This window comes from Homo sapiens, chromosome 10, assembly GCF_000001405.40.
Source record: "Homo sapiens chromosome 10, GRCh38.p14 Primary Assembly".
Taxonomy (NCBI): Eukaryota; Metazoa; Chordata; class Mammalia; order Primates; family Hominidae; genus Homo; species Homo sapiens.
This window is the reverse complement of record NC_000010.11, coordinates 62,958,771-62,969,714: the sequence shown is the minus strand read 5'-3', so window position 1 is coordinate 62,969,714 and position 10,944 is coordinate 62,958,771. Positions and strand designations below refer to the sequence as shown.

At 40.0% G+C, this 10,944-nt stretch overlaps 1 annotated feature.

Annotated features, from left to right (window-relative positions):
• Window positions 694–863: an enhancer, noted in NCBI's record as "experimental_13913 CRE fragment used in MPRA reporter constructs". NCBI's record gives its function as "activates a minimal promoter by MPRAs in K562 erythroleukemia cells, with activity observed for both the introgressed and non-introgressed 10:64728697 variant alleles {active_cell/tissue: K562}" and the evidence as "EXISTENCE:reporter gene assay evidence [ECO:0000049][PMID:34662402]".

Genomic DNA, 10,944 nt, shown 5'->3' with positions numbered 1-10,944 from the left:
TGCAGTGGCACAATCTCAGCTCATTGCAACTTCCACTTCCTGGGCTCAAATGATTCTCCCACCTCAGACTCCCAAGTAGCTGAGATTGCAGGCGCGTGCCACCATGCCCAGCTAATTTTTGTATTTAGTAGAGACAGGGTTTCACCATGTTGGCTATGCTGGTCTTGAACTCCTGACCTCAAGTGATCCACCCACCTCAGCCTCCGAAAGTGCTGGGATTATAGGCATGAGCCACCACACCCGGCCCATCTTTCTTTCATTCTTACAGTTCAGATAAACATAAGGTTTGTGTTTCTCCCAGGATAGAATTAATTATTGTATTAGTTATCTATTGTTATATAACAAATTACCCAAAAACCTCGTGTCTTAAAACAACAACAAATATTTATTATTGTACAGTTTCTGTTGGTCAGTAATTTGGAAGTGGCTTAACTGGATGGTTCTGACTCAGAGTTTCTCACTCATGTTGTTAGAATTGAGATGTTGGCCAGATTACCAGTTATCTGAAGGCTTGACTGGGGTCAGAGGATTCAATTCTAAGATGGCAAACACTGGCAAGCCAGTACTGTCTGTCTGTCGGCAAGAGATTTAATTCCTTACCAAGTGGACCTCTTAATAAGGCCACTAGAGTGTCCTCATGATGTGGTGACTGGTTTCTCTCAATAGAGTGATCCAAAAGAGATGAAGGCAGGAGCTGAAATGACTTTGACGGATATAGCCTTAGAAGTCACAACATTTCTTTCTAAAATATCTAATTAGGTGTACAGGTCAGAGCTATTCACTGTGGGAGAGAACTATAAGGGCATGAACACTAAGGGGTGAGAATCATTGGGAGCATTATGGAGGCTGGCTTCCACAGTTATTCACTCGACAGTTGTTAATGGAGTATTTACTTGTCAGTGTGAAAGATAAGAAAAAATACCATGTGTGGTCCCATTTGCATAGTCCTTACAGTCTAGGAAAAAAACACTAACAGTAAAAGACAATGCATGTTCAATAAATAATGGTCATTTCAAGTGACAATATCTGTCAAGAGGTGACGCTACATTGAAATAGCCAGTGAAGGCTTTTAGAGAAGGTGTGATGGGTGCTGTTGGAAGGGTGGGTAAGGAATTGGAAAAAAGAAAGCCCTGGTTCTTTCTACTTCCCTCACTGAGCCACTGTCCATTCCTAAAACAAAGTACCAAACTCTATCAGGTGAAGTTCTTTGGTTGCAAGCAAAGACGGTTACTTGGGCCAACTCAAGAAAGAGAACACGTGTTATCAGGAAAATGCCAGGGTTCCTTACAGAAGCCAAGGACAGATAAATAACAAGGTCTATAAAAGCAAGTGGTCAAAACAGTCCTAGAGATTATGGCAGCAGGAATACACAGCCAAGTTCTCTAGGATGCTACACTGAATGAATCTGCTTCATTGACCTTCCTTTTGAGTGCCGAGAGAGAGAGATTGATTGGTCCAGCTTGTGTCATGTGGGTACTCCAGTATAGGAGGTGTGAGTTCCCATGATTAGCACCCTCTTGGAATCACAAGGAGTGGGGAAGGGCTGATCCTCCCAAGAGAGGAAGACTAGATGGATACCAGACCTCATTTTAAACCCTAATAGCTCTCTATTAAAAAAAAAATTGGCTTTGCATTTTTATAAAAATGGGAGTCCATTGAGCCTTAAACACTATCATATATATATATATGGAAGGAAGCACCTTCCAAAGCTATGAGTTGTAAATATTCTATATGAAACATATATATATATATAATGTTGATTGTGCTGTTGGGAGCGATGCCACATTTCAGAGGAAAAATGGCAGAGCCATTGCTTTAGGCATTGTATTTTTATTTTATATTTCCAGAAAGACAACCCATTCATTTTGGGTATTTTGTGTATTGGGATTTCTAGTTAGTTTGCCTTAGATTTTCCAAAATGCTGTCCTCTGGACACGACCAGTTATCCTTTCCTGCTCAGAAGCAATAAGCCATCTAAAATCTCCCAATAGCACTGTTTTGTCCTTCATGGTACTTGTCATGGTTTATAATTATTATTAATGATTACTTATAATAAATAATCTATTTAGTCATTTGAAGCATCTGTTCCCATCACTAAACCAAAATATTTACTAGAACTTGACTGGCTACAGTGGTTCATTCCTGTAATCCTAGTACTTTGGGAGGCTGAGGTTGGAGGATCATTTGAGCCCAGGAGTTCGAGACCAGCCAGCATAGTGAGACCTCATGTCTATAAAAAGTTAAAAAGTTAGCTAGTCATAGTGGTAAGTGCCTGTAGTCCTAGTTACTTGGGAGGCTGAGGCAGGCGAATTGATTAAGCCCAGGAGTTTGAGGTTACAGTGAGCTATGACTGCTCTGTTGCACAATAGCCTGGATGACAGAGTGGGACGCTGTCTCTCAAAAACAAACAAACAAACAAACAAACAAAAAAAGAAAGAAAAGAAACAAAAAAACTAAAAAAGTAAAAAAGGAAGAATAAAAACATTTACTAGAACTTATTGTAAAGCAAAGTTTCTCAACCTCATCACTATTGAAATTTTGGACTGGATAATTCTTTGTTATAGGGGGTTATCCTGTGCATTCATCAGCATTGCAGAATGTTTAGCAGCATCCTTGTCCTCGTCCTCTTCTCACTAGAGGCCAGTAATACTCCTCAGCTGTGACAACTAAAAAGAGTGTCCAGATATTCTCTTGGGGAAAATCATCCCTAGTTGAGAACCACTGGTATAAAGGAATGCATGCATGCATGAATGAATGAATTGATGAGTGAATGAATGAATGAGTAAATGATGAACAGACTCATTCAGAAATGCAACAGTTTTCCGAATCCTTGAATGACATGGAAGTGGTTCTTTTGGTCTATTCATTTATTCTGATTCTCTGTTCACCAGACATTTATTGAGGGCCTGCTATGGGAAGAGGTCAGGGGTGCTGCTTCGGAGCCTGCAATCCTCAGGGGTCCTGTGCTAGGCATTACAGGTTAAGCCTGAAGAAAATATGAATTAGCCTCAGCTTATTGTGCTCTGGAAAGGAGGGCAGTTTGAGCAGAACATTTTGGATCAAGCTTACCCTGCCTGCAATACCTCCCTGGTTCTTCCCTGCTTTTCTGCCTCTTAATTATCCTTTACAACTGATTCAGCAGAGAGGGTCCAGAACTGGAGTTCTCTCCCCACACAGCTTTCTTAATGCATCTTACATTGGTCATTTGGTTTTTACATCTACCATATGTTATTGGTGTTTTATAAATCCTTTCAATATGTCTAGATTTCCTAAATAAAGGTCTTGAGGAAGTTTATTAGAGGGGGAAAAAAGTTCTTAGACAAGCATATAGTTCTAATCCTACTTCTGCCATCAGTTTAGCTTTCCGACCCGGGCAGGACGCCTAATTGCTGAGGTTTCATCTATAAAATGAAAATGGTTTTACCTGTTGTGCAGCTACCTTCCAAAGATACTGACAGTGTTAAATAAAATAATGGATAGAAATATGTTTCATACATTGAAAAGCACTATGCAAGTGTAATATACTGGCATTATCAGCATTGAGAATAATAATAACAAACGTCTTGAGGCAGAGACTGTATTTTATATGAGTTTGTATCTCTAGAACCTGCCACATGGCTACATATCTGTAGTAAACTCCACAAATGATAGTTGGTGATGCTGATGGTGTCTTGTGAAGAGTGGATCTCATTCATTATATAAACTTGTTATCTCTGATTATACAGTAGTCAATACGTAGTTTTAGAGTCAAATTGAATTTCAGATAATCATCCAAGAAGTCTGTATTATTACTCATGAATATGTATGCTGGCACCTTCCAAAGCTATGAGTTGTAAATATTCTATATGAAACATATTTTAAGGATCTAATGGTATCTTATGAATTTTTATTGAGAACTTTAAAGAATATTTTATTTCATACAGGAACACATTAAATAAGGTAGAAGTTCTGGTAAGATTTCACTCCGAAGTATATTAAGATTAAAAGTAATGTATTTTCAGCACTTGGATAGATTCTTTTCTTTTTTGGTTTTATTCTGAAATAAAGTGACACATCGTCTAGAATATAGTAAGAGATTCATCTATCTAAAATACTCATTTTTCCCAGCTATTGCTTGAGTTTAAAAATATTTTAACCAAAGTATAAATTCAATTGACTAAAATTTGTTATTGCAAAACTCACAGTTGGTTTTGCCTTCCTGATATTGGCCTATTTCTTGGTAATGCTAAAATTGAACACCATAGTAACAAATTTGTTTTACTAAAAATATTGAGATAACACAAATAAGACATTAAGCAAGCTGATGCATTAGCTGAGTTGACCTTTCTTGAAAAATAAATACTAAGGAAATATTTTAAGGGAGTTCCTTTTTGTTTTCTCAACTTAGGGTTCACTTCCAGTCAAATATTGCTTTTGTTTAAAAAGAATTAGGTTAATACCTGTTAAATGTGGTAGTAAAGTTTTACTACATATAATTAAGTTGTAAAACTAAATGGGCTTTATGGATATAATCTCCAATATAAGCTTTTATATATTTTAATGAAAAATAACTGACTAGCTCATGGTACTATATACTATACTAGTTACAAAGCTTTGAAAATACTTAGTTTGTTTTTCTAAAATGAGAAATTCACGATGAGGTTTTTTAAAAGTTCTTAAAAAGAATGATGGATGTTGTGTTTAATTAGTATAGCACTAAACTTTTTCTCTAAATAAATTCAGATTCAGAGAACATTTATTGACTGTTTTCTATGGGCCAAATATTGTATTATATTAGCTTCTTCTTCATATATGGTCATTTAATCTTCAAACAATCCAACAATGTCATCTTCAGTCGAGAGAAGAAGAATCTAAAGTCTTTGAGTGGAGTAACTGGCCTACAGCTACAAAGTTTAAAAAGTTCCAAAGCTGGAATATAAACCCAGATTTTCTTATTGTGAGGTCAGCATTCTCACCAGCACATTTATTCAGGATGCTGTGAAATTAGATGCCATCATGGTAGTATTATAACCTTTCCCAAGTCTCATGTGCTAAGAACTATTGACCTCAGGCAGGACCAACAGACATGTCTATAACCTCCAAAGTTTCCCTGAATTTGACAAAACAATGATTACTTATGGTATGCCTATTTGAAAATGTTTATCGGTTACTCTTTTATTTCAATATGGTGGGATGAACTTGAGATTTTTATTGGTTAAAATTGGCGATTTGCTTCTTAAGTTTTCATGCAGAGGACAAATATAATATACTCAGTGGTTAGATTGAAACCAAAGCCTCACTTCATTCAATGGTTATTTTATTCATCTATACGCTTCTGTTTACAAATGCAAATTCATCAAAAGGCGAATTTAAAGAGGCATTTCCATAAGACTAAACCTACTTTGTGATCAGACATGAGTGATTTTTTTTTTTTTAAGTAACCAGCAGTGCTTTGTTTATTTGTTGGAACTGGCTGAGTCTGGAGTGTAAAATATGCTGGGAGCTCTTAGACAGGGCTAGGGAATGACGGGGGATAGTTAGGACAGAATAATTGGCCAGCTCTAGGGTGATACCACATTTTAAACCTAGGGGAGCTGGCAAAGTCTCATCCAATTCAATTAGATCCAAGGGATCAGGGCTGCTGACAGAGCTTGGCCAAGGCAAGTCTCAGCATTTAGTGGGTGTCCTAGCGGATTAGTGAGGTTATAATAATAGTAAGTATTACTAATTACTTACCCAACATCCATTCTGTCTCTCTTCCTTAAAAATGATGGTAGAGACCAGGTGTGGTGGCTCACGCCTATAACCCCAACACTTTGGGAGGCTGAGGCAGGAGGATTGCTTGAGCCCAAGAGTTCAAGACCAGCCTGGGCAGCATGGAAAAACCCGAACTCTACAAAAAATAAAAAATTAGCCAAGTGTGGTGGCATGCACCTGTAGCCCCAGTAACTTGGGAGGCTGAGGTGGGTGGATCACTTGAGCCTGGGAGGTCAAAGCTGCAGTGAGTCATGATCATGCCATTGCACTCCAGCCTGGGCAACAGAGAGAGACCCTGGCTCAAAAAACAATGGTGGTAGAAACTGATATTTAGCTACAACGTGCATTTCCCCTTCTTCCAAAAGTAGAATTCCCAAATGTTAGCTGAGTACATGGTCACCTTGAATTTATTTCTCAGCATCCCTTGCAGCTAGGAGCAGCCATGTGATTAAAATATAGTTAATATGTTCAAGCATAGTGACACATGAAACCGTTAGGAAGTATATTTAATATCTCCTGACTTTCTTTCTTCCAGCTATTTGGATTGTACATGTGACAACTGGGCAGGAGCAGCCATTAATGATCATGAAGTGGAAGTCCCATGATAGGATGGTGGAACCATAAGGTAAAAGGAGTCTGAGACCTTGGTAATCATGGAGCCTCCAAACCAACCCTAGACCACCTACATTAATGTGAACTTAATCCTAATTAATACACAAATGAAACCCTTATATTATTGGGAGTGGCAGTGTATCCAACAATAGAACTGTATTCCCCTGCCTCTCTTGAAGCTGTGCATGGCAATGTGTCTGAGTTCTGGTCATTGAAATAAAGCAGAAATTGTGCAGAATTCTGAAAAGAGTTCTTAGAAGGGATATGGACAGTTGGAGAAAGTCCCTTGTATCTTCTTTGCTGCTTCTTTTCTGCTGTCTGAAATGTGAATGTGATAAGTGGTGCTCCAGCAGCAATTTTGGACCATGAGAGTCCTTGAGGAGTAGAAAGATAGGAGGCTGAGTTCCTTGATGACTTTGTGAATCCAGCTTACCAGTATGGGACCACTTACTTTTGAACTTCTTTTACACAAAGAAACAAATCTTTTGGTATTTAAGCCACTTTGTTCTGGGTTTTCTATTAACCTATCTGACAGAGAGGTTCATCAGAGTTAACCAGAAGGCACAGGAAACAGGAATCAGCCCCAGAGAACTGGGACGTGTGGCTTGTGTCTAGTCTAGTTGGGAAACTAGTGTGGAAGTTGCAACCAGGAATCTGGCAGACTAGTTAGGATCAATGTTCGAACTCCAGCCCAATGCATGGGTGTGAACCATCTGGGTCACAATCACTGATGGGGAAGAAGTAGCTATTTTGCTGTCAAGCCAGGTATTCCTTGTGCAGGGGACAGATGGCCTTGCAAGGGCCAAACATGGGTTGAGCAGAGGCAGAGGCAGGCAGAGCTGACATAGCCTGTGCCTGTTTCAGAGACTGTGAAGGCAGAACTATTCTGCTGAGCCTCTCTTTCTCTTCTTGGGGCTATCTGTAAGCAGCTGGCTGACTCTAACATCCAGGCTTGTGAGAATCAGCTCTGTTCCTCTCTCTGTCGTGTGTGGGCCAGCTGCATCCCCACTGGTCCTCATTTCCCCTGCACTGAGCTCATTCACTCCCTGGGGATTAATTTGACTGTGAATACTGTGGACTCTGAAGTGTGGGAAAACTGGAGACACAAACAACAGAAGCCTTAATGCTACAGGGGCAGAGAGTAGCATCTTTTCCTCGGTTAGCATCATGTGAGACCTGGCAAGCCATAATCAGAGACACTTCTATGCAGTGACTCAGGGAGGCAGCCTGCTGCTGAGCAAAGAGGAGGCAGGTCTGCGAGCTGGAGTTCAGAGAAACTTAGGATCATATGAGAACAATTGGTCTAGAGCTCTTAGAATCAAAGAGGTAAGGTGAGTGGAGGCACACTGTGGAACAGAAAACACCATGAAGATTATTGTCATTTCATTAATGAAGAGAGTAACAACACAAGCAATTTCCTTCCCCAACATTACTGAGAAGATGTCTTCTTGTTAATTTCTTCCCATCAAGGCTGCCTTGGGATTCATTGTAAACAAAGTTCTTGTAGACTTGTTTTAAAATTGGGGGACAGAGGTATTTAGACTGATTTGCCTCAAAATCTCTGCCTTCCCCAGGATGACCTGTTCAGAATGCTATTGCAAATGTAAGTGACAACTCAGTATACCTTCAAAATTAACCATGCTAATGACAGGATATACTAATTGTGTATAATACACAGTAATCATGTGCCTCATGTACATGCTAACCCCATTTACTATTATTAACCCCATATCTAAAAGTCTCTTCTACTGCTTATATGTGTTATGTGAAGAAATAGAGATAGAATAATTTTGGGAAACACTGGGTTAAACAAAGTTGAGCTGAAAAATTGTTACTGACTGTGTGAGACCGGGAGAGGGGAACTGCCTACTGTGTGAGTTCTGAAGCGAGGGTTTTCACTGCTCCTTGGAAGGAATTTGGCAGGGCGGATAATTATTTTCTCTGCCTCCATTGGTTGGAGAACAGCCTTCTAACCTGGGCTTGTCTCTTCAAATGGCTTTCTCCTGAAATGGTTCATCAGGGGAATGTCACAAAGGGAAAGGGAGAGATGAGATGTCTTGCAGTGGCCCTGGCCATGCCCGAGCCAGGTGGTTTCAGTGTTTTTCTGCCTCTGACACTGTTGATTTTCCAGGCTTCTCACCTATTCTGGGAGTTACTTCCAATCCTCTCTGTGATTCCCTTTTTTCTTAGGTTAGGTAGCATTTGTCTGGCTGCCTATGGCCAAGACCATTGATTAATTGAGAACTGAAGTGAAGTTCCTCACTGCTCGACTCTCAGAACCTTTAATAGACTCGATGCAAATTAAAGTTCATAATTCCCCAAAACAGGGCTCAAGTATGTGGCATTTTCTAAAAGCATTTGATCCAGAAGCCCTGCCTCCACACCCACCTCCACCTCCCAATGGACCTCCAACTTCTCTTTTTTTTTTTTTTTTTTTTTGAAACAGGGTCTCACTCTGTCACCCAGGCTGGAGTGCAGTGGTATGATCTCAGCTCACTGCAACCTCTGCCTCCCAGGCTCAAGTGATTCTCCTGCCTCAGCCTCCCAAGTAGCTGGGATTACAGGTGCACGCCACTACCGCCCAACTAATTTTTATATTTTTAGTAGAGACGGGGTTTCATCATGTTGGCCAGGTTGGTCTTGAACTCCTGATCTCAAATGATCCATCTGCCTGGGCCTCCAAAACCGCTGGGATTATAGGCGTAAGTCACTGTGCCCAGCCCCCACAACTTATCTTAGCATTAGTCTTCTGCGGAATGACTGAACATATTGGGGGAAATGCTGATTTAGTGAGTCACTGCTTAGTTGATCAGAAAATATCTTGGTGGTACAGAAGACTTCATTTAACTCAAAAAGGTAAATAATTTTCTTCCTGCTTGTAATAAATCCGTGATCTTATAATAGATTATGTTCTTATGATGGATTTGTAGTGAATGCTTCCCCGACGAACATCAATGGCCTCACTCTCATACATTGTCTCATGTCTAGCCTCTGTTCTGGCCATGAGATCCCTGGACTATCGCGGATGCTTGTGGAGCAATTTGTAGAAGCCAAAATACATCTTATTTTTACCTGACCCATTACATCTGCTAATGACTTAGGTCAACTGGGTAAGCAATGTGGTCATTCATAATTAATTTTGCTGTTCATTATAGCCAATTATTTTAACTGCTGGATCATTTGTATTTTTATACAATCTACAGTCTTCCAGGAACATACACAAGCTTAATGGACTGTATAATGTGCATTCCCTGATCCATGATTAACATGCTGTTTAATGAGTACAATTTTAAGAAAGCTTAAAACTTTAGGTCCCTGGCTTCTTCTACAAAGCCAGGCACTGGAATGAAAAGTCTGCAACAGTAATGAGTTTTGAATGCTTTAAATGGAAGGCTATTCTTACATAAATGAGATTCTCCTTGCGAGCTGGGAACATCCCACCCTTACATAGCCATCCGGAGATCCCAATGAGCAGGCCAGTACTGGGAAACACAATGTTAATGCCAAGTTAGGGTTTACAATCCTGGATATTCTGATTTAGTAGGTCCAGGATGCGTGAGGCATCAGCTCTTCCAAAAAATGTACCAGGAAATTCTGACACAGAGGTTTGTGGTTTGCACTTCTGGAAATACTAATTTTTTTTTTTTTTTTGAGGTTTCTGAAGTGTGCGAGAAACTGGCTCCCCCAGCTGGGAAAACTGAAGGCCAAGTGATTGTTCAAGGACACCTGAGCACTAACTAGTTTCTCTCTCTGGAGAAGGATATGGGTTTGCTAAAGCTGGATTTCGTTCAAGAACCAGGAGAATCCAATGTTTGTAAACGTTTCCTTAATGAAGCATGTAGATTGTTAGTTTAAGTTTGTCTGGAACGGAAAGTTTGTCTGGAATCTTGGGTATGGAAGGCCGTGGTGTAGCAAAAACTGAGCTTTCCAGGTTTCATTAGAGCTTACTTTGTGTTGATGCTGTCTCCAACAGCTGGCCATGTCTCCCTTTGAGCAGTTCCAGGAACCATGAGAAGCTATGCTGAAATATGTTGTACCTGCTTCTGTCTGTGTGGCTGTCATGCTTCCAATAAGTTTCCGTATCTTGGCTAGGTACACTGAGCACTTAATCCAATGTGATAGACTGGTATATGTGTGTAAGCCCAAAATGCTGGGGAGTGAAATGATGGACTGCTTTTATCTTACTCTAGTTCTTGACCTCTCCTATTGAAGTGCCAGGAGAAGGATGATGGTTACTAATAAGCATCATTTATGCAATCTCATAACAATTTCTGAGTATTTGGCTTTGCTTCTTACTGGTAAGTCTGGGCAGTTACTTAACTTTTGCAGTTTGTCAGCTAAAAAATAACCTAATAATGGTACTCTCCTTTTAGGGCTGTTGGTAGGATTCAATGTGATAAAGCATGTAAAGTATTTAACATGCTTCCTGGCTTATGGGGCCCAAAATATGTTAGCTGTCTCTCTTCTTCCTTTTCCTCTCTTGTCTCCTTCTCTCTGGACTTCCCTCCCCTCCCCATTTCCTGACCCCTTCTACTAAGTGACAGGCAGCTCTGTAATTTCTATTTTAAGAAGAAGGTTTGGGTTATGTAACCAGGT